Raw genomic sequence first — 24085 nt, 5'->3', positions numbered from 1 at the left:
TCTTTAACATTTCATTTTAATTAGTTTTATATTTCTATTCCTATTTTGTATTTTCTAAAGCTGGTGATTCCAACTCTGGTTTTATTTGAATGGTAGACTCCCCTGGAGCCTTGGGACTTCGTTTGAAAACCTTGGGTCTCATCCACTCCCGCCATACTTTATTTATTTATTTTTTTGAGACAGAGTCTCACTCTGTTGCCCAGGCTGGAGTGTAGTGGTGCAATCCTGGCTCACTGCAAGCTCTGCCTCCCGGGTTCACGCCATTCTCCTGCCTCAGCCTCCTGAGTAGCTGGGACTACAGGCACCCGCCACCACGCCTGGCTAACTTTTTTGTATTTTTAGTAGAGACGGGGCTTCACCATGTTAGCCAGGATGGTCTCGATCTCCTGACCTTGTGGTCCGCCTGCTTTGGCCTCCCAAAGTGCTGGGATTACAGGTGTGAGCCACCGCACCCGGCCACTCCCGCCATACTTTAAAGAGGAGAACACAGAGCATTGAGGCCCTGGTCCCCTTCTCCCTTGCACAGCTGGTTGGTAGCAGGTATTCACTAGAAGATAAGACTTTTGACTCCTAGTGGACGGAACTTTCTTCTCTAAATCTGTAGCTGGATATTTAACAAAAGGTTTATAAAACATACTCTTTTAAAGCAGTCAAATTTAAAAAGCAGAAAAATACAAGAAGACAATAATTACTCCAAATTTACTTACCCAAAGGTAACCACTCTTAACACTTGGGTGACTGTCCTTCTAGAAACTTCTCTTTGCATATATACATACACAATTTTAAATAAATAAGAACAATCTATATTTTTTTCCTTTGTCATCTGTTTGTTTTGTTTTGTTTTTTGAGACGGAGTCTTGGTCTTTTGCCAGGCTGGAGTGCAGTGGTGTGGTCTCAGGTCACTGCAACCTCCACCTCCTGAGTGCAAGTGATTCCCCTGCCTCAGCCTCCGGAGTAGCTGGGACTACAGGCACGTGCCACCACACCTGGCTGATTTTTTATATTTTGTAGAGACGGGGTTTCACCATATTGGCCAGGATGGTCTCGATCTCCCGACCTTGTGATCTGCCTGCTTTGGCCTCCCAAAGTGCTGGAATTAAAGGCGTGAGCCACTGCGCCCAGCCTGTCATCTGTTTTTAATCACCCACAAATGTTGTCTAGGTATCTTTCCAAATCAAATATATAAGTCTATGTAATTCTTTTCTAGGTCTGTGTAATTTTTAATGAGTACACAGTATACTGTTGTACGTATTATAGTTTATTTAACTGACCATACACTTCTCCTGCTTTTTTCTACTATAAACAAAGATAAACACCTAAATTTCTGTGTACTTATCTCCTATTCTTGAATAAAGTCCTAGGAGTGAAAGAGGTAACCAGTCAAGTTGGAAATGGTTAGTAGCTGAACTTTTCTGGCCACAAATGGCTATTTGGAGGTAGTATTTAAGAACTGTGAACATTAGTGTTTCTGGCAGCTTTGGTCTTGGTCTGGTGGTGGAGTGATCAATTTGAAGACCTAACTGGGAGTGGGGCAGAACGTAGAAGGCACTTCTCTCTGTGGCCCACTTCGAACTGGACGTTGAATTGCTGGGGGCAGGCTGGTTTTGAAATTTGCTCTCCTGTTGTTGCAGACGGCAGAATGCCTCCAAAGGTGACTTCAGAGCTGCTTCGGCAGCTGAGACAAGCCATGAGGAACTCTGAGTATGTGACCGAACCGATCCAGGCCTACATCATCCCATCGGGAGATGCTCATCAGGTACTGCATGGCAATGGGCCTCTCCTTTCTTTTCAGTCTTTTTTCCCCAGCCCTAATGTGTTTGTAGGATTCTAATTGTCAACCCACAACCAGGGCCACAACCAAGCCCTTCCAGGGCTTGCTATGGGGATCTGTGTCCAATAGGTCTCACTGAATGCTTGTGGATTGGCCCTAGCTTCCTTGATTCCAGTGACTTAGCCATCTTTCAATGAAGAATTAGTGGGCAAATTAAGGGACAGAAGTTCTGGAACTTTCTGTTGCTGGCATACTCCACATCTCCTCTGCCACACTGTGTTCCTAGCAGAATTGTTTGCCCTGTCTCTCTTTTGCCCAATCCAGGAGAGTTGGAGAGGCAGAGACCTCATGTGATAGGGTTGATGGGCGGTAGGGTAAAAGGATTCTAGGATCCACTGTGAAGTCATTGAGTCAGCAAGTGTTTGAGTGCTTACACTGTGGTTATGGTGCTGTAGGGTGCAAAGATGAACTTAAGGTTGAATGTCTGCTCTCACTAGGCTTATGGTTTAGTGAGAGATGAAATAATATAAGAGTGCTATTCTTCCACAGAATCATCTATAAGTACAGTTTTTCCCAGCCTTTACTTATGTATAAGGCCCTACCCATCTCAGGTATTAGACATGATATAGAGATGAGGATTGTTCCTGGTTTTAAGAAGCATACAGCTTAATAATGGAGTTTAGATGTACATGCACATACCTGTATTGTAAGGTAAAATGTGGTAAGTGTGATCAAGAAAATCTGGACAGAAGGCTGTGGAAGTTTGAGGGTGAGAGGGGAAGATGATGAAGAGCTTCATGGCACAGGGGAGACAGTTGAATTGGACCTTGAAGGATGGGTGGAGTTTGGGTAAATAGAGGGATGGGGTGGAGGAGGAGGAAAGAGGTTCTAGGTAAAAGTATTAGTGGCAGCAAAGGCAAAGAAACAGGGAAGCTTCGGATGCTCTTCAGAAACAGTGGGACAGGTTTCCCTGGCAAGAGACCAGGGAAGTAAAAAGCAGTGGTGGGAAATAAAGCTGTTGTTACAGGATTCTTCAGTTGCAGGTAATAGAAACTGCCTTGAGATACCTTGAGCAATAAAAATGCTTTATAAGGATTCAAGGGCAGAGCCACCATATTGGCACAACTCCAGATTGTGAATGGTGCTCTCAGAGTTATGTGTGTCAGGGCCTCAGATAGGGTGTCTTGTGGAACATGAGGGCAGGAATGTAGCAGGCCCTCAAGAAGAACTGGGACGGGAGGGTTTTCAGGTCTTGCTGCATATCAGTTTCTCTTTTTCAGCCAACTGGTTGGGTCATATAAACCTGACAACACCTACATTTATATCTTTTCCTCTCTTACTTTCAAGATACCAGATTGAACTAGAACCTTAATCCCCCAAATTCAAAGTCCAGGATGAGAACTTGATTGGTATATGTAGCAACTTGGTTCTGCATGGTCCTGGTTACTCTGTGTGTGTGCACGTGTGCGTGTCTGTGTCTGTGTGTGTGTCTGTGTGATGTCAGACATGAGTAATGGGGGTCCACCAGTCCACCATGATGGAGGGGGTGGTAGATAAGGGTATTTCTGTAAGTTGAGCAAAGATCACAAAACATGTCCATTCTGGCTGGCTGACTTCCTGCCTCTCCCCAGAGGTCCTGGTCTACATGGTTGCGACAAGGTCAGGCCTGTATTAACCTGGGAACAACTCAACCTCAAGATTGGATCTCTGCCTGGAGACATGGATTTCCTGGCCTTAGGAGCAAATGAAGGGCTTGAAATGAATAAGCAAAGGGATCGGATATTTGAGGCAACAGTATGAAGTTTAGGATACTTTGATGTTTAGAACAGTGTTCCCCAAACTGTGTGTGTTCTTCAGTATTCCTGTTGTGTCTTGTAAGATGCTCTACAAAAAATATATTTGTTAGTTGAGAAAATAGTGAAATGAGCTGAACAGTGTTTTTTTATTGTGGTGAAAAATGTATAATATGACATTTATTTTAACCATTTAAAAATGTACAATACTGTAGTGTTAACTACATGCACATATTGTTGTGCAACAGATCTCTAGAACTTTTTCGTCTTGCAAAACTGAAACTTTATATCCATTAAACAGCTCCTCCCAGTCTCTCTCCTCCCCTCCTATCCCTGGCAACCACCATTCTACTTTCTCTCTCTAAGATTTTGCTGGGCCAGTCACGGTGGCTCACGCCTGTAATCCCAGCACTTTGGGAGGCCGAGGCAGGCGGATCATGAGGTCAGGAGTTGGAGACCAGCCTGACCAACATGGTGAAACCCCATCTCTACTAAAAATATAAAAATTAGCCAGGCTTGGTAGCACGTGCCTGTAATCCCTCTGCTCAGGAGGCTGAAGCAGGAGAATTTGCTTGATCCTGAGAGGCGGAGGTTACAGTGAGCCGGCCGAGATTGCAGCACTGTACTCCAGCCTGGGTGACAGAGCGAGATTCCGTCTCAAAAAAAAAAGTTTGCCTGCTTTAGATAACGCATGTAATTGGAATCATGCAGTATTTGTCTTTTTGTGACTGGCTTATTTCACTTAGTATAGTGTCCAAGGTTCATCCATGTTGTAACATATGACAGGATTTCTTTCTTTTATAAGGCTGAATAATATTCCATTTTATTTAGAGACTTTTTTTTTTTAACCTGTTCATCTGTGGATGGTCATTTCAGTTTTTTCCACCTCTTGGCTATTGTGAGTAATGTTGCAATGAACATGGGTTTGCAAGTATCTTTTTGAGATCCTGTTTTCCATTCTTTTGGATATATGCCCACAAGTGAGATTGCCAGATCATATGATCCTTCTATTTTTAATTTTTGGGGGAACTTCCATACTGTTTTCTGCAGCACCTGTACTATTTTGCATTCCCACCAATGGTACACAGCATTCCAGTTCTTCCACTTCCTCACCAACACTTGCTATTTTTTGTTTTGTTGTGAGGTGATGGCTCATTGTAGATTTGATTTGCATTACCTGATGGTTAGTGATGTTGAGTATCTTTTCATATGCTTTTTGGTCCCATTTGTATATTTTCTTTGGAGAAAATGTCTATTCAAGTCCTTTGCCCCAATGAGTTTCATAGCTGCAGGACTTCTCAGGGCCTTTAATATGCTGATGTGCACTCTGTACCTCTAAGGAGGGGATAAAGTATTCAGCATTTTTCAGACTTAAATGTCCATGGAATTTTCCCAGTTATTTCAGGGGCGGGGTGGGAGACTCTAGTGTTTCATGGAATACCTTTATATGTTGTTCTGTGATAGTACTTTTCATCCGATGATGGGTCTTGCATGTAGAGGTGGATGAAGGGAGAGGTCAGAGTGAGAGGTGTATTCAGGCACCAGCTCACTGGCTGTTCAGCCTGGCAGAATATAGGAAAAGTAGAATATCAAGCTGGAATCGGGGTGGTGGCATGTGAGGAAGCCATGAGGCTGGGTGCATAACTGTTAGATCTAGTAGGCAGTGGGAAGGTAAGGATAGACTTGGTGAGGTTCGTTTGTGTTCATTAGAATAGACAAATAAGATTGGTCAACTTCAGGCTGGGTGTGGTGGCTCACGCCTGTAATCCGAGCATTTTGGAAGGTTGAGGCAGGTGGATCACCTGAGGTCAGGAGTTCGAAACCAGGCTGGTCAACATGTGAAACCCCATCTCTGCCAAAAAATACAAAAATTAGCTGGGCGTGGTGGCTCATGGCTGTAGTCCTGAGTACTTGGGAGGCTGTGGTGGGAGAATCGCTTGAACCCAGGAGGTGGAGGTTGCAGTGAGCTGAGATTGCGCCACTGCACTCCAGCCTAGGCAACAGAGCAAGACCCTGTCTCAAAAAAAAAAAAAAAAAGATTGACCAACTTCATATGAAGCAAAATATCATCTTGACCAAGGACTGGGTGAGGAAGTAGGCTGGCCACTGTGATTTGAGCCTGAGTTATGGTATGAGTCGTAGGTAGCAGAGGAGCTGGGCACTCCCCCATTTAAGAAGGGCAGACCATTGCCTTGTCTTCAAGGAATTTTGTTTTTTCTTTTCTTTGGGCCCCTCTGATGAGCTCTTCCTTGTTTCCTGTCAGTCCTAGGCCTCAGCCTTTGGATGTGGGCTTCATGTCACCTGGATTCTCTGCTGGATTCACCAGTGGCATTTTTAATTTTCTGCCCTTCAAGCATTGGACAGTTGCCCTAGGCTGATTTGATTGCAGTCACCCTGTTAGTGTTGAGCAGATGGTGGTTCCCGCAACTGGAGCACATGATGATTATGTAGCAGTTGGTTTGGGCAGTTCTGTAAGTCCCCTGGCACAGTTGTCTGAAATTGGGGCCCTCCTCCGAAAGGGTTCTCACAGGTCGTCATGGAGCCTCAGCTGAAGACTCCTAATAGCTCTACTATTTGTGAATCTTTACCTCCAGGGGAGGCCTCAGTGTACAGAAAGATTCGACCTGCTAATGTTACTTGAATTAAGAGTTGAAGGTTTCTGGTTAAGGGTGTGTTGGAAGCTTTGTAGTGTTTGTATTTCAATTTCAGTTTTCTTTTGCCTGGAGTTAGGATATTATCTGTGTGTTTACTAGTAGGAGACACCGACATCTTATAGCTGAGTCAAGTTTATCTTGATGTTCTTGGTCCTGGGTGCTGTTCCTTTGCCAGCTTTTTTTGTTTGTTTGGTCATCATAAAGCTGATTTTTGGACACCCTGACTGATACTTAAAAATGTTCTATCTTTGACAGTAGGTGTGGCCTATTACACCCGAAGCAATTCCTTCTGGGAGTGGCAGTGAGGCCATCTAAGCCACAGGGGATGTTCCAGGCTTTCCCTCAGCTCTTTATCTCCTACTAATGATCCTGCAATATCAGAATTAGATGGCTTTTCCCTCCATGAGGAAACTGAGGCTCTAATCTGAGACAGATGTGTTTTGTAGCAACATCCTGAAAATACAAAATGTATCAAGCTTGCTTGGTGTTAGCTGTTGCTCTTATTGCAGAAGTCACTGTTTAGACTTCACAGACTTACATTTTTGCACTCTTGCTGTCCTTCCATCTTCATCACCCCTCTCCACTCTTTCTTTTATAATCTTAACTGTCATTTCTATTGCTGTAGCTTAGCTGTCTGTCTTACATACGTGGAGAAATTGTGTTTTGTTTGTTTGCATGTTTTCTGACTGCTGCTCAGGGCTAGGTCTGGGGCAAATGCAGAGGGCAGGTAGTTAGCATATAGGTAAGCGTATGAGCTCTAGAGCCTCTCTGGGTTCAGATGCCAGATTTGCTACTTACTAGTTGCTTGACATCAGGCAAGTTACATGAAATTCTGAAGTGTCAATTAAACTTTCTGGGTCTCAGTTTCTGCATTCGCAAAAAGGAGATTGTGACAGTGTGGTATGTACCGCATGGGCTATTGTTAGGATGAAATGGGTTCATACTGTAGATGTGAATGCTTGAAGCACTTGAATGCTTGCTGCTTGAATGCTTGATGTCACTTGAAAAGTCTCGTCATATTAGCTGCCGCTATTGTTGTTATTACTGTTGTGGAGATGAATGAGATTCCCTTTGAAGAGATTAAATAATAGGTAAGCCACAGTCATAAATGAGAACACAAAAAGAAACTGGTGAATGTCATGGGAAAGGACCTCATTAGCACTGTCTAAGTAGAATCTGTGAGATACACATGTAATATTCAATGTTCTCATAGACACATTAAAGTAAAAGAGCAGTGAAATTAATTTTAACAATATATTAATCCAACATATCCAAAATATTATTTTAGCACATCATCATTATAAAAATTATTAAGAAGATACTTTACATTCCTTTTTATGCTGTGGTTTCAAATATGGGAAGTTTTTACATTTACAAAACTTCGCAATTTGAATGTGAAATTTTCATTGGAAATATTTGATCTGTGTTTAGATTTCATAAGACTGACAGTTGAAAAGGTGGACTCACGTACCCAAGTTGTTCTAAACATACTTAGAAGTTTTCCAGTAACTGAATCTTGAATATCAGTTTTTAAATTTGTATTTCAATTTATTAAAGTGAAATAAAATTAAGTATTCTGTTTCTCAGTCACAATAGCCACATTTCAAGTGCTTAGACACATGTGGCTGGTGGCAACTGTAATGTAAGTTTACTTAAAGTGTGAACTGAATTCAAAGGTGACAGAGTATTTTAAGCTGGCAGGATCAGGGAAGTCTTCATGGAGAAAGTAGGATTTAAATTGGAACGTGAACAGGTAGAATTTGGATGCATGGAAAGAGGGAGAGAAGTACAAGAAATACCATGGAAATCTTTTTTTAAATTATACTTTAAGTTCTAGGGTACATGAGCACAACGTGCAGGTTTGTTAACATATGTATACATGTGCCATGTTGGTGTGCTGCACCCATTAACTCATCATTTACATTAGGTATATCTCCTAATGCTATCCCTCCCCCCTCCCCCCACCCCATGACAGGCCCCAGTGTGTGATGTTCCATTGTTCAGTTGCCACCTGTGAGTGAGAACATGCGGTGTTTGGTTTTCTGTCCTTGCGATAGTTTGCTCAGAATGATGGTTTCCAGCTTCATCCATGTCCCTACAAAGGACATAAACTCATCCTTTTTTATGGCTGCATAGAATTCCATGGTGTATATGTGCCACATTTTCTGAATCCAGTCTATCACTGATGGACATTTGGGTTGGTTCCAAGTCTTTGCTATTGTGAATAGTGCCGCAATAAACATATGTGTGCATGTGTCTTTATAGCAGCATGATTTATAATCCTTTGGGTATATACCCAGTAATAGGATGGCTGGATCAAATGGTAAGAAATACCATGGGTATCTATGGAATTAGGAGAACATGCATGACAATAAGCTTGAAGAAGGGAGAACAGTGGCCTGGTTAAGACCATCCATGAATTACCCCTGACTGGTCATGGTTGTCCTTGACCACCAGAATCAGGATTTTAGAGTGACATGATCAGAGGGAGCAGTGTTTAGTATGGGTTGGAGAAAGGAGACTCTGGGAATTGAGAAACCTGTTAGGCCTTGCAGGATCTCAGAGTTGGGGTAAAGAGGGCCTGGACTTGGGTACTGGGGTTAGGAGCGGAGAGGAGGGGTAGGATTTGGAGAAGTAGTACAACCTGGATTAAATGTGGACCTTGCAGGCAGGTGGTAGAGGGGATTGGGAAGGTTTGAAGCCTGGGAGTGTTTGTGGTGCCATCAACAGAAGGAAATGGGTTCCTTGTTTTAGTTCCTGTGGAGAAGAGCCACATAGTTGGGGCGACTCTGTTAAGTGGGACTCTGGATCCTTGCTGTGATTGTGAGAACAAGAAGGAAGGGCTGGCTTCATGTGTGACCTGCCATAGTAGCCTCCTCAGTAATAGAGAGGCTGCTGTTCCCTGTGGCTCTTGTTCCTAATTGTTTCATTTCAGGGTAGATTCTGGGTTGATGGAGTTTCTCCTACGGCTGGGGAGGGGAGGGTGTTGGAGAAGTGAAGGGGAATCTTGAATTCTGTCCTTTGTGTACTTTCCAAAACACAAATATACACACCCACACGCTGTTCCCTGCAAGAGAGAAAACGTACCTCAAATGCATAATTACGCAAGGACTTGGCACTGCAGTGGTCTGCTTCTCTCTGTCCTCTGCAACTCTAAGGGTTTCTTCTTTTTAAACTCAGAGCAAGGGTTGTGGTATTAGGGTTGTTGTATTAATGAGCTTGGGCCCTGGGGGACTTTTATAGCAAGGAATCGTCTGTTCTCTCTGGTAATCTGGATACTTTCATGTACCATCCTAGTCGTATATTGGGATTCGTGGGCACCACTTGCCTCAAAGCAGGAGAATCCTTGGTTGGAGTCAGAGCTGTGCCAGCACTGCCTTTTAGAAATCTTGATTCCTCATCCTCCTCATCCGTAGACCCCATATTATGTTGTTGGGCTTGGCTTAGTCAAAGGGTGATGTTTTGTCAGGGACTGACTCTGCCAATGTGAATTTTTGGCTTTGTTTGTGGTTCCTCCTCCTGGAAGACATGATTCAGATTTTCCTAAACTCTTTGGACCCTACTCCATTCTCCTGGAGTCAGCTTCCTGTTTTGTTTTGTATTTCATAAACAGGCTTTCTCTTGGGGTGGGGTTAATGATTTTTATCCCACAGTGATTTTATCTGTTGTGTTAGAATAATGCTAGCTGTGGTAACACATCTCGAAGTTTCAGTGGCCTGGTATTGTAAAGCCTTATTTCTTATTTCATGTAGCAGTATAGAGTGGGTGTTCCTGGTTGGTGGGGGACTTCCCTCTACCTTGAGGGAAAGTGATTCAGGGATCTAGGCTCTTCCATCCCATAGTACCACCATTTTAGCTGGTGGAAGGGGACAGAGTATGGACAGGGCACACTCATTTGTTAGAGCCCCGACCCAGGTATCACCTCTCACCCACATTTCATTGGTAAGAATAAGTCATGTGACCTCACCTCAATGTAATGAGGCATGGGAATGAAGGCCTGGCTGGGCAGCTACTTTCCAGTGACTCTTCTACACTAAGGAAGGAGCACAAATCTTTGGACAACTGTCAGTTTTTCCCACATACCCTGACTTGGTTTCATTTAGGAGAGAAAAAAATGCCAATAACTTATATTTGGAAACAAGGAGTCCACATCTCCATTCACAGTCTAACTTTTGGTACTTCCTGTGGACCGATGGCCATTTATTCATTCAGTTTCAATTTTCTTGAGAACCTTGTATATTTGAGGCACAGTGCCAAGCTCATGGCTGATGGGAGAAGAGGGTCAGGGAAGGGGAAAGATGTCACGCTAATGTGGACTCTAGTAACTTTAGTCATGCTTATCTTGGCAGTCAGCTGTCAGCTTTACTTGGCAAGTTCCATCGGCATGTGACCAGCCATGTTGATCCCTCTTCTTAAAACCCAGCTCTGGTCATGTCACCACCCTCTCTTCAACTTTTAGTGTCTCTCTAGAACTTGCAGGATAAAGTTCAAGCCTCTTAGTCTGGTGTTTGAGGTCTTTGACTATTTGTCTTCAGACGGCCTTTACAGAAATCTCTGCAGCTGCTCCCTTGAACTTCTTGCCCCTGCCATTAGGCTAATTGGGTGTCGCCTCATGACAGGCCTCTTGCCTCTTGCTTCTGGGCCTTGTCACACCTTTCCCTCTGGACTGTTTTCCTGCTCTCTTCGCCTATCCTTGGTGGCCCAGTCAAACCTCTGAGCTTGGTCTGATGGATCTAAGGCACATCTGAGCATCCTTTAAACTATAGCAAATACCACACTGCATGTTCAGCATCGTTTATATGGCTGTTTATTAGTGTTAATATTTCATGGAATATCTGTCTACTATTGCCGATTGTCCACTTCGAGAAGATAGTTTCTTATGTTTGCTATAGAGTCAAGCTCGGTGCAGTTCATAGCAATAAGTGCTGCAGTTCATCAGATGTTCGGCATGCGCTAATTGCTTTATGTCACACCTCAACCCTTCAAGGTGGGCATTATGTTCATCCCCATTTTACAGATGAGGAAGTTGAGCCCCAGGTTCACCCAGCTAGTAAGTGGGGAACCAGGCTTGAACAGAGTTCTAACTGCTGGTTGTAGGAGATGTCTATTCTGTGGCTGATGAAAGTAGAGGTAAGTGCAGCATACACCTCGTATTCCTTGTTCCCTCAGAATTTATAATCCAATTGTGAGACTAGATGTGTACAACTTCTGTACAAAAGTAGAAGAGGTTGCTTGGCAGCTTGCAAGGGTATGGGCTTTCGAAAGTCAGACCTGAGGCTGGGTGCAGTGGCTCATGTCCATAATCCCAGCACTTTGGGAGGTCGAGGCAGGCGGATCACTTGAGGTCAGGAGTTCGAGACCAGCCTGACCAACATGGCAAAACCCTGTCTCTACTAAAAATACCAAAATTAGCTGGGTGTGGTGGTGGGCGCCTGTAATCCCAGCTACTTGGGAGACTGAGGCATGAGAATCGCGTGAACCTGGGAGGTGGAGGTTGTAGTGAGCCTAGATTGCGCCACTGCACTCCAGCCCAGGCGACAAAGCAAGACCCCATCTTAAAAAAAAAAAAAGTCAGACCTGAGTTCAGATCTTGGTTCTGCCATTTACTGTGGTGTTACCTTGGGGAAGTTAGTTATTTCTCTAAGCTTCATTTTTTTCATCTGTAGATTAGCGAGGGATGATACCTTCCAGGGCTGCTGTGAGGATTAGAATGAGAGGAAATGAATACAGTTATTGACTAGTAGGTGTTGAGACAATAATAAACAATACAGACTAAATAATCTTAGCTAACATTATTTGTCAGCATTATCCAAGGTAGGGTATGGATAAGTGCCAACATGGATGGTCCTGTAAAATTCAGAAATGTGGGAGCCTCTGAAAGCTGAAGTGGGTCAGGAAGCTTCATGGAAAAGGGAGCACTTGAACCAGATTTTTGAGAGATGACTAGCTTTTTTTTTTTTTGTAGTTTACAGATGCTTTATTTGGCTATGTATTGTTTATATTGTTGGAATTAGATGCCAACATTTAAAAATTGGGTAATTTCTCATGAACCCATATTTCTGGCTTCTTCTGAAATATTGAAGGTTAGCAACATGTGGCCTGCATTTCAGAAATCAGAGCTGAGTAGGAGCTGCTGTCTTTAGAAAAGATATCCTTTGTCCTGTACCCTGAGGTATTTGAATTTGAAACCCCATTTATAATCCCTTACGATCTTTTCCCCATTAGATAATGTATTAGTTTCCTATCACTGCTATAACAAATTACCACAGTGACTTAAAACAAATTTATTCTCTTATGGTTCTGGAAGTCTGAAGTCTAAAATGGGTCAGCAGGGCTATGTTACTTCTGCAGGCTCCAGGGAGAGTCCATTTCCTTGCCTTTTCCAGTTTCTGGAGGCCACCTGCATTCCTTGGCTCATGGTCCCTTCGTCCATCTTCGTAGATATGGTTGAGGTTTTAACTGGATGTAGGGAAAAGCTTCATGTCTCTTTCTGCTTGTTCATTTATAATACAAATGTGGGTTGAGGATCTAGTCACCTGTGCTGAGTGCAGGGACAGGACAGATACCCTGATCTCATGGAACTTATATGCTTGGGGTTAAGATGGGGGTTGAGGAACAAGACAATAAACATATAAAAAGTTCATTAAGAAGAGAAACATTGCCCAGCATGGTGGCTCTTGCCTGTAATCCTAGCACTTTGGGAGGCTGAGGCAGGCTGATCACTTGAGCCCAGAAGTTCAAGGCCAGCCTGGCAACGTGGTAAAACCCCGTTTCTACAAAAAAAAAAAAAAAAAAGGTGTGTGCCTGCTGTAGTCCCAGCTATTGAGAAGATTGAGGTGGGAGGATTGCTTGAACCTGACAGGTCAAGGATACAATGAGCCATAATTGTGTCACCACACTCTAGCTAGGGTAACAGAAGGCGATCCTGTCTCCAAAAGAAAAAAAAAAAAAAAAAGACAAATATCTAGAGTATGTGTGTGCTATACAGAGACTTAAAAGTGGCCAGGTGGCTATTATAGCTGGGTAGTACAGGTAGGCCTCTCTGTAGAGGTGATATTTGATCTCAAATGTAATGATGAGAAGGACCTAGCCATACCATGATCAGAAATACTTTTATAGGCACAAGGAAGCACATGTGCCAAGGCCTTGAGGCAGGAATGAGCTCAGGATATGCAAAGAGCAGAAAGGAGGTGGGTGTGTCTGGAGCATGGTGAATGGGAGCAGAGCTGCAAGAGGACTGGCAAAGTCAGATCAGCTGGTACCTTGACTGGGCCAGAGTTTGGATTTTATCTTAAATATAATAGGAAGCCATTGGAGGGTTTTAAGGAGGTTGCTAACATGATCTTAGATATTTGGAAAAGCTCACTCTGAGTGTATGTGCAGAGTGGATTGTAGGGGCGGTAGTCCAGGTAGAGATGATGGAGGCTTGGACTGAGTGCTGCTATTAGAAATGGAGAGAAGTGGGTGGTTTTGAGAAAAAGCCAGCAGCTGTGCTTCTTTGTGCCTTTTTCCTAGCATGCTACAGCTTTGGTTTATTTTAGGCCCTATGCTGTGTTCTAAGGAGACCGCCCCTGGGCGTTGCCAGCTTCATGCCTGGGAGAAGGAGAGTGACAGCCCTGGGCCCAGTGCTTGTCTGGCTTCTGCATAGCCTGTCAGTGTGGAGGTGAGGCTGTGGCCAGCCTTGCTTAGCAATGTCTTTCTGGAATGTTGACCACTTAGGTCATGTCTGGACATTCTTACCCCAGACCTTGTCTCCATCCCAAACTAAACATGTCCATTTGCTGTTAATTCCACCTCCCTTTGGAGGAACTCTTTCCTTGCCTTTGCTGATGGAGAAGTCTAGGTAAACCCTGCGGATCTTCCATCTCTCCCAAGCTTGCCCAGAAAGGGGTGGGGCATCCCTAGAGTACTATGTCCCTGAATGGAAGAGTCCAGCCGGGCTCAGACCTGCACTGCATTCTCTGCCAGTCTTTGCCAGTATCTTCACCCTGTGTCACGGGTGGAAGAGCCCCAAGCCTGTGGCGTCATGTTGGTGGAGAGTGCCCTCACTGTGTATTCCCCATTGTGCGCAGTGATTTTTAGCACAAGAGTTATTTTTAACTTAGTTTTCCCAGCCCCTTAGATGTCTTCTCACTGTTTAGGAAGAAGAGATTAATAATATCTCTTCCATTGCATATGTGCAGCACTTTCAAGTTTCTGGTGAGTTTTGAAAGACATTAACTTACTGTTTCTCACAAGAGTCCTAGGAGATGTGTGGGCCACCCTTCCCCCCGTTGTTACTTTTTAATAAAAAGTCTTGCACACAGTAATTACTCGGTTAATAAACAAGTGAGGATTCTGCAGTTCCTAAACGATGCTGGTGGCCATTTCTTTCTATTTCCTTAGTGCTGTTGACCGAATGTTCTTTATGCTTTAGGAATAAAACGTGCTTGCTGTTGCATTTAGCAATCTGAAATGACCTGTCTTAGAGATGAGGAAATGAGGCTGAGAGAGCTGCCAGGACTTGTTGCAGACTATGCAGCTGGGCCTGGGCTAGTGGGCAGGTGGCCCAGAGCTGCTTTATCCTGCCATTGTGGTTCTCTATGCTGGCCCTTCTAGTATCTCCCTGGAGGCTGGTTTGAGGCTGTGATTGCCGGTGCCTTGGTGAAAGAGGCAGTCCTTTTTTTTTTTTTTTTTAATTTTTGTTTTAATTTTTTGAGACAAGGTCTCACTCTGTTGCCTAGGCTGGAATACAGTGGCACAATCATGCCTCACTGTGCAGCCTCAACCTCCCGGGCTCAGATTATCCTCCCACCTCAGCCTCCTAAATAGCTGGGACTACAGGCACGTGCCACCATGCCTGGCTAATTATTGTATTTTTTGTAGACATGAGGTTTCACCATGCTCCCAGGCTGGTCTCGAGTTCCTGGGCTCAAGCAGTCCTCCCACCTCAGCCGCCCAAAGTGCTAGGATTACAGGCATGAGCCACTGTGCCTGGCTGAAAGGGGTAGTTCTTAACCATATAGCAGGAAAGGAACATGAGGGCCTTTTCCCCCTACATCATGTTGACTGTCCTAAAAATGCCTTGGGTCTGGCCAGCAGCCCCATTCCCCACCCTAAACTTTCTTAACCTTGCCAGGTCCTTTGGCTTGGGAGAATCCTGGTAACTGCAGAAGGAGCAGCAGCTCTGTACTCAGGCAGGCCTGGCTTTGGATCCTGACCTACTATTAACTTGTAAGTGGGCAGCTTACTTAAAGATTCTCTCTTTGAACCTCAGTTTTCTCATTTGCTATTGGTCTTATCCTAGAGAGTGATGAGGGCGAGAGATAAAGTGTCATGCATTGGCAGCCTGGCATAGGGCTTCAGAGTCCAGACTCTGGAGTTGACTGCTTAGGTTCAAATCCTGCCTCTGCTACTTAATTAGCTGTGTGATTTGGGGCAAGTTACTTAAACTCTCTGTGCCTCACTGGCTATTACCAGAAGTTGCACACTTTGACTTGTACCCTTTGCCCACGCGTAAGAATTTCTTACTTTCTTCACTCCCTAACCCCTTCCATACAGAGGCAAGGGGATTATCAGCTGAGAAGACCTTGGTTTTGGACATGACATTTTATTTTGCTGAAGCCTCCTGGATTGGATGAAGCGTTTCCGCTCACTCTGTAGCAGGAAGGGACAGGGTCTGCATGGGAGAGATTGGTGATGCTACCTCAGAGGAGGACCCAAACAGGAAGTTTGGAAACAAGTCAGTATCTACAGAAACTTAAGTTAGGGAATTGTTGGTGCTTAACACAGAAATTCAGCCTTACTTTTCAGAAAAATAACAGATGCCTAAATGTCAGTGGCAAGGAGGGGAGAAGGCTATTATTGGTTTGATTTTTGAGTAAGATCTCAGTGAAGAAAGAGCAGTTTTTATCTGTTTCTCCTGATGTGCTTTGGTTCTCCTAATGAGGAAATAGAGGCTAAAGGGAACAGCTCTCTCTGCCCTTAATTAATTCAATCTTCTGCAGTGTGTGCTAATCTGTTGTTTTCAGCTAGACTGTTGGCTTCTTGAGGGCGGGGGCCAAGGATTCCCCAGTCTTCATAGTCCCCGCTGAGCCTAGCACAAGGCTAAGCAGGCAGAACAGTCTGCTCATGACTGATCGAGGCCCACTTTGTTGTCATCTTTGTTTTCCAGAGTGAGTATATTGCTCCATGTGACTGTCGGCGGGCTTTTGTCTCTGGATTCGATGGCTCTGCGGGTGAGTCACTACTTTTTCTCTGTTCTTGCTGCACCTTTGTTCGCCTCCTAAAAATAACTGAACCGAGTTTCAGCCTGTGATATAGAAGCAAAAAGAAAATGCAAACCAGATGCTCCACATTGACTCTCTGCAGAAAGGTGTGGGTTCCCAGTCTTTCCCTGCTCCCCAAGGTCACCTTTCAGTAACCCTTTTTATTCCTCTCTGTATCTTTGCTTCAAAGTTTTAACAATTTTTATTTTTAAAAAGTTTTTGAACTTTTTATTGAATATAACATACATATAAAAGTTCTATCAATTAAACTGAATATACCTGTGTTACTAGCACCCCAAATAAGAAATGAGACTTTAATATAGTTTCAGAACCTCCTCTCTTAGCTTATTGGTCCCAGATAATTCTCCCAAGTGCTTGGCTTTTGGTTTCTGTTTTCACTCTTGGCTTAAATAACAAAGGTTAACTCTAAGCTGCATTGGTGTTCCTCAAAACCATTATGCCTTTGAGTTTTAGGGTGGACTCCCCACTTCAGGTTTGTTCTCTAAAGCAAGCTGGACAAGGTGGGAGCTCCCCTCCCCTCATGGTTAGCATGCTGCTTCCTTTGGCGTAAGTGCTTGTGTTGGTTGGCGCATTAGGATTGGCTTTGGCTGACACCTCTGCCAAAACCCCAAGTTCTGCCAGGCCTGTGGGAACGGAGGGCAGATAAAGGTAGGAGGCATAAGCTTCCTGCTAGTGACCACAGCAGGAACACTCATAGGGCCCACTTGGTCTTTCTCCAGGAAAGGTGAAACAGCTCCCCTGGGGTGTCTGGTGGAGCAGAGGAGTGGCTGTAATTGCTGAGCAGGAACCATCCCTCCCTGTGTCTTGTTGATTATACGAGACCACTTTGGCCATAGGTCTACAGTTCTCCATTCTCTGTTCTTGACTCATACTGTGCAAGTGGAGTCCTTTTTGTGCAGGGACCAGTGCCAGGTAGCTTGGGTCTCAGGACTGTTCTTTCAGAGCTTGACACACAGCTTGTTTTCAGTAGTGTGGTCTTCTCTTGCCCAGAGGTTTCTTTGGAGTCAAGGACCCATCTGCCCCACTAGGAGCTGATGCCTCTTACTGCTCTTGCCTGTCTACTGTCATTTTGTGCAGCTTCTGAGCAGTTGTTAGAAACCTTTCTTCTTCTTTTTTTTTTCTCCCCTGCTTCAGGCACAGCCATCATCACAGAAGAGCATGCAGCCATGTGGACTGACGGGCGCTACTTTCTCCAGGCTGCCAAGCAAATGGACAGCAACTGGACACTTATGAAGATGGGTGGGTACAGGCATGGCTAGCCCAAACTTAGTTGGCCTGATCTGGGCAGGGATCCTAGAGGTCCTCAGGACTCCTGGATCTTAATCCTTTTATGCAGTCATGGACCCTTTTGAGAATCCAAGGAAAACTGAGAAAAAAAAAAATGGCATGCCTATACATACGTACCAATGTGCATTCAATTTTGGAGGACGCTGGTTCAGGATACTTATTTTACTGAGGGGAAACTGAGGGCTAGAGAGGACAGTTGATTTGCTGCAGATCACATTGCTGTGCATTTCACTCCTGTACTGGGGGCCTTCTACTATTTGCTGCCTCATGATTCAGAGTGAGATAAAGGCAAGGAGTCATTGGCAACAGAAGCCAGAAAGCTTTCCCCTGAGGCTCTCTCTGAGGATCTTGGATTTGCTTCTGGAAGCTTAGCTCTGGAGAAGAGCAGCATTCAGGACAAGCGAACAGGTCTGGAACTTGCTTGGGCTAGTCGCTTCACTTGAGTGCTTTAGTTTCCTCATCTGTAAAATGGGTTAATCACAGTAAGTAACATATAAAGTGGTGAGAATTAAAGCATTACTATGTGGAAAGCATATAGATCAATGTTTATTGAATAATGTGTGTATATACTCTGTGTTTTCATTTAATTTTCTGCCGTGTGTACTTTCCTGTCATTAAAATAGTCTTTAGAAACACGGTTTTAGGGACTGTACAAAGTCTTTGCTTCCTGAATTTTGAACTTGGAGAACAGAAGATAAGGAAGGGCCAAGTGAGAAAGAGAAGATGAAACAAAATACCTGATGCTTCTTGTTTGTTGTAGGAAATAATGAGGAAAGAAAATAGTCCTCAGACTCACAGCAGGAAACAGAGGACTAGACCATGACCTTGAGATCCAGGCAGCCAGCTGACTGAGGGGTGTGTGCACTCAGGTGTATGCCACACACCCTCCACATACACACACATGTGTTCTTTGTCTTAGGGAGGAACAAGGAACATTTTTGTCTTGGCATTGGATTAAGTTTCTATTTCTCAAAAATCATTTCATAAATATAAAAACACCAAAGCTACAGATTGTTGCCTGTTGCTGCAGTTGATTTCTCTTTCCCTTTCTCTCTCTCTCTCTCTCTCTCTCTCTCTCTCACACACACACACACACACACACACACACACACACACACACACAAAGGCAGGCATTTGAAGCTGGCTGTTATAAATGGACAAGCTAGTGGCCTTTAAATTTTTTTGTTTGTGTGCTTCTGTTAATGGGAGTCAAGCACCCGCAACATGTATGTATGTTTGTTTATTTGTTATTTATATGTGCTAGTGTTCCTCTATATTCCAAATATCAAAAACTAACTTTGTAATTTCTTTATAAAAAATAAATACAAATAGAAGCTCTGTTACTTTCTTCTTGCACCCAGTAGATCATTGTGTCCCCCTGGGGAGCAGGCATCTCTCTTTGGGGCCCACGGATTCCAGCTCTTAAGTCTGTTAGCATTTTGGGGGTCAGAGGCGCAAACACTGCCTGCCTGTTCCTTAATGTAGGTATGTGGCAGCAAGGGGGTGGCAGAGGGAGTGAGTCCTCCTCTCCTCCAGGCTCCTTCCTAGTTTCCTCAGTCGAGTCTTCTGTGTAGGGAGATTCTGGTGGGTTTGGTTGGCCAGTGAGTGATTCATCCCTGGGGTTTTGCCGAAGATCTGTCTGCTAGGAAATGACATGACTTCATCCTGTGAAAGTTATATTATGTAGTGTACTAGGGCATTAGGAGAAACTGTATTAATAAGTGGCTTGTTTAGTGGTTTGAAAAAAAATAGGAAAGAATCAAATAGCAGAATGAAACTCAATGTCAGCTTCTAGGCAGTTTTTTAGAATTGGAATTCATGAGCTTCTTTCTTTATAAACCTTTGCACTTCCCTTCTATGGTTATGTGGTTGTATCAGTAGTCAGTAGAGAAAATAGTAAAGATAAGTTTCTACTGTTTTAGAATATGTGAACTTTTACTCTAAATATATGTATATTTTATCAAGATGTTAATTGTTTGGCCAAAACCTCATTGGTTAAAAAAAGTATACATTTCAAAGATAACTGGCTAGATATGGAAGGTGTTGGCTTAGATTAAAGGAAAACTGGACTATAGAAGTAATTTTAGTTCTATTCTGGAGGCTGATATAGTGTCCTATGACTAGCGTCTTAGAAACAGAAAGGGCTGTCTCATCCTGGGAGTTGGGGAACCCAGAGGCTCATGTTAAAGGCAACAGGATGGCCAGCACTTTGGGAGGCTGAGGTGGGAGGATCACTTGAGGCCAGGAGTTCAAGACCAACCTGGCTAACATGGTGAAACCCCGTCTTTACTAAAAATACAGAATTAACTGGGCATGGTAATTTTGAGCCTGTAATCCCAGCTACTTGGGAGGCTGAGGCAGGAGAATTGCTTGAATCCAGGTGGTGGAGGTTGCAGTGAGCTGAGATGGTGCCACCGCACTCTAGCCTGCATAACAGAGTGAGACTCTGTCTTCAGAAGTAAATAAATAAATAAAGACAACCGGACAGGTGCCTGTGTGCCTCTCTTAAAATCTTCGGAAAGATCTCTTTGCTGCCAAGACTTGTGCTTAGCCCTCTATTCAGAGGCTGGTTATGGGGCAGCGGCCTTCTCTTGGCCACCCTGCCCTTGCAGATGAGGGGCGGGCACTGGGAGCATGTTATCACCTTACCTGGTATGTGATATGTGGGAGTCTCCCAGTTCCCAGACTTCACCAAATCACTGCCCAAATTCTCATCAAGTGACCAGTAGTGGGGAAGTGACTGAACGCTGAGGAGACAATCTTTGTGGTGACGCCATGTGTGTACGTGGCAGTGATCCCCAAGATATTTTTACAAGGGGTCAAGTGAAAAATCATACTTTTTTCCCTTCTGTCTCACCCTTGTCTTATGTTTTTCATACACAAAAACTTACACTTCTCCCTCTCTGTAGCCTTCCAGGATTAAGGGAGGTTCAGATTTTCTAAGTCCTGTCAATCCACTTTAAAGAAGCTGCTTAATAAAGACCCTGCTATCATGATGTTAGAGAATTGTATCTTTCTGGTGGGATAATGAGCGTGGGCCCACTGGGAATTGTTTCTTATCATTTCTTCCCCCTGTAGGTCTGAAGGACACACCAACTCAGGAAGACTGGCTGGTGAGTGTGCTTCCTGAAGGATCCAGGGTTGGTGTGGACCCCTTGATCATTCCTACAGGTAAGTGAGCTTGGTCCCTTTCTGCTTGGGTAAGGAAGTGGCTTCTAGATTCCCCTCCATTCTCCTCATTTGCTTGTGGGGTGTGGAGCACTGGGGGGCTCAGCATGACTGATTTTATAGTAGAGGTCAGGGTGAAGAGAAGAGTTCCACTGGTGGTGAAGATGTGCTTTTACAGTTCCTCATCCTGCACACCCAGCTCTGGGCCATGGCAGGACCACCTTTCTGAAGGTTCTGGACTTTCAAGGCCCTGCTCCCTGCCCTGCTGCAATGGGCGTTCGGCTCATGGCTGGGCCACAATGTGTCTCCTCAGATTATTGGAAGAAAATGGCCAAAGTTCTGAGAAGTGCCGGCCATCACCTCATTCCTGTCAAGGAGAACCTCGTTGACAAAATCTGGACAGACCGTCCTGAGCGCCCTTGCAAGCCTCTCCTCACACTGGGCCTGGATTACACAGGTCAGAATCAATGGTTCTGCCCAGCAGGGCCCCTGCCATTGTCCCCCCACCTCTTGCTATTGTCTCCAGCCTCGTCCTCCGAATCCAAGTCGAGTTGGAGCTGACAGGAGGATTTTGCCCTACTCTGCCCCAGTGGGATATTTGAAGAAGCAGGAGCTTTGTTTGTTTCCACTGTTGCCACCTACTTGCCACTTAGTTTGGCTTTGGTTATTTTCGCAAAGCTCGTTTGGGTGGCTTTTTGGGTGCTGCTGAAAAGACTGAGTTTTTTTTATCCACTCAGCTGCTAACTGCCACTCGAACGTATTTGATATTGGAAATAGAGCATAGAGGTTTCTAGGTTCCATTTCCCTTCTTATGTCAGCATTTGTAGATTTACCTTCCTAGGCCTTTGTCCTCCATCTTGTACCTTCTGCTTTAGAGGCTTTGGGGTGTGGGTGTGTTTCCTTGGCCTGTGCGATAGTGATGGGTAAGCAGCATGTTCTCTGAACCATTGTGTGGATTTATGAAGCAGTGAGGGGGCAGAGAGAGAGGCCTGGAGGTGGGGCTGCAGGGGAGGGCGTCTTGCTGTAGAAACAGAGGTAGATGGGGGATGGCTGTGGAATGTAGGCAGATTGCCCAGAGGGGTCCTGGGAAGAAAGCGTGACAGCCTAGATTCTGGGCCAAGTTTTAAACAGCATTCCCGAACTGATCTTCAGTGCAGCCCTGGGTGTGGGGGCAGCCCCAGCCTGCTTTCTTGTGTGACATCCTCACCAGAGGGGTATTGCGGAATGGGGAGGATGGGTCCAGTGAGTGGCCCAGGGTCAGCTAAATATTTTCCATCAGCGTGGTTTGAAGTTTTTTTCACTAGAGCAGAAGCTCTGACTTGTTGCTTATAGGAGAGGGGAGAGCAAATGTTGCTGTTCAGTACACATTTGGGTGCCTACTATCTGCAGGATGCTGTGCGAGGTGCTGAGTGAATAAGACAGATGCCCACCCTGCTCACAGGTGGCTGTTCCCTGAGTTATGAATGCTGCCCTGGTAGGGTGGTTGTGGTGGCAATGGGGTGAGCTCCTCTAGCACCACGATTTCATCTTGCAGAGCAACAGAGAGGCCTTGGCAGTGTCTGAAAGGGCAAGTGTGATTTGGAAGTGGTAATCACAGTGAGTCAGACTACAGGGAATTCCTAGGTCTTAGCACTGAAAGGCAAGTCTTGCAGCCCCCAGGAACATCAAGTGGTGGGTGCTGTTCCCCTGACCCCTGAGACTGGGTGAGTTCCCTTTGCTGGGTAGTGTGTTGATATAGGTCCCTGTGTGTCCCCTGTTGCATCAGTATTTACAGTAGTGTGTTAATTGCTGGTTTAATTATCTGTCTTCCCTTCTATATTGTAAGCCCCATGAAGACAGGGACTGGGTCTGGCTCAGATCTGTAACCACAGTGACCAGCAGAGTGCCTGGCACGTATCTATGCCTGGCAGATCTAGATGTTACACAGGCATTTGTGGGATGCGTAAATGAATGAATTTTACTGGTGAGGCAATCAAGGCTCACGACAGTCAAGTGGCTTGGACACTTCTTGTATAGGGCTTGAATCCAGGCCTCCTGCCTGTTTAAGTAGCGTGCTCCTGTAAGAAATGGTGCTGATTAAAGATGTTTAGGGTAGGTTCTTTCACTGGGTTCCTACTGCTTTCTGGGACCAGGGCTGGAGTTAAAGCACATTTGTTTCTTGCAGGCATCTCCTGGAAGGACAAGGTTGCAGACCTTCGGTTGAAAATGGCTGAGAGGAACGTCATGTGGTTTGTGGTCACTGCCTTGGATGAGATTGCGTGTGAGTGCTCTGGTTTCGCTGTTTGGGCATGTTACCCGATCTCTCCTTTGGGTCTCTGGGTATCTGTGTGTTCATGCCATTCAACTTTCTGAGTGGCCAGGGAATAAGAAGAAGACTACGTCACCAAATGGGTATAGGAGATGCCAACTAGGATGAAGGAGAAAGAATTACAGGGAGCTGGGGAGGGGAGTGAGGCTTGTCCAGAGCAGTATTACAGCTGGGTGATGCCCACCTCTGGCCAGTCCCTCAGGACCATGGCACCTCTGAGGAAGGGCATTTCCTACAAATATTTTATGTCTGTCAGCCTCTGTAGGTGTAGAAGTGGGCTCATAGGAGAGGCCTTCTTTCTTTACACTTGTCCTGTGGTTTCCTAAGGTCTTTATAGTGAGAATGTTCTGGGAGCATTTCTACCTCAGAAAACTAGGAACTAAAAGTTCCTCCCCAAGCCCTTTGATGTAATAGTAGTTTCTCAGTCTTTGGACCTTAACCCACCTTCATGCAGTTGTTCAGCACCTTCTTTCATCTAAAACCTGACGGAATCTGGTTGAACCTTCCTGTCCTGTCTTCTGGTTTCTGAGTGGATTTGACCCAGGGCAACTGAGAAGAGGCACTGCTTTATCTTTTTGCCTTCTCACTAGAGAATGAGACCCTACTGCAGTGTCCTCTCTCTTCAGTCCCTGCATCTTCCATCCACAAAACATTGTCAAGTGTGTCAGTGACTTACATCCCTAATTAACTTAATGATCTCAACGTCAGAGAAAAACACCTGTAAAACTTTTCTCTCTCCCTGATTGTAACAAAAACACAATCCCATGATAGAAAACTTGGAAAATGCAGAGGAAGTAAAAAGAAGAAAAAAAAAATCACGTATAAATTCTGTTACT

At 44.7% G+C, this 24085-nt stretch overlaps 1 protein-coding gene across 13 annotated transcripts in view, besides 1 other annotated feature; it reads left to right on the top strand.

The window, feature by feature from the left end:
- The window catches only part of XPNPEP1 (X-prolyl aminopeptidase 1), a 58746-nt gene that overhangs the window by 14065 nt on the left and 20596 nt on the right, over window positions 1-24085 (top strand). For 8 of the 13 annotated variants that reach the window (NM_001324132.2, NM_001324135.2, XM_047425713.1 and 5 more), the window contains 6 exons: window positions 1632-1756; window positions 16372-16435; window positions 17621-17725; window positions 20852-20944; window positions 21255-21398; window positions 23106-23201. In NM_001324132.2, the coding sequence (NP_001311061.1) occupies window positions 1640-1756; window positions 16372-16435; window positions 17621-17725; window positions 20852-20944; window positions 21255-21398; window positions 23106-23201 (619 nt within the window). In that variant the 5' untranslated portion in view covers window positions 1632-1639. Of the gene's footprint in view, window positions 1-1631; window positions 1757-15336; window positions 15432-16371; window positions 16436-17620; window positions 17726-20851; window positions 20945-21254; window positions 21399-23105; window positions 23202-24085 lie in introns of those variants that run through there. The other 5 variants (NM_001324131.2, XM_047425714.1, NM_001324128.2 and 2 more) reach the window with 5 other exon arrangements.
- Window positions 17259-17318: an enhancer, noted in NCBI's record as "active region_3996". NCBI's record gives its function as "activates an Ori minimal core promoter by ATAC-STARR-seq in GM12878 lymphoblastoid cells {active_cell/tissue: GM12878}" and the evidence as "EXISTENCE:reporter gene assay evidence [ECO:0000049][PMID:35858748]".

Source organism: Homo sapiens, chromosome 10, assembly GCF_000001405.40.
Source record: "Homo sapiens chromosome 10, GRCh38.p14 Primary Assembly".
Taxonomy (NCBI): Eukaryota; Metazoa; Chordata; class Mammalia; order Primates; family Hominidae; genus Homo; species Homo sapiens.
Note: the sequence above shows the minus strand (reverse complement) of the source record. Positions and strands in the feature narration are given on the sequence as shown.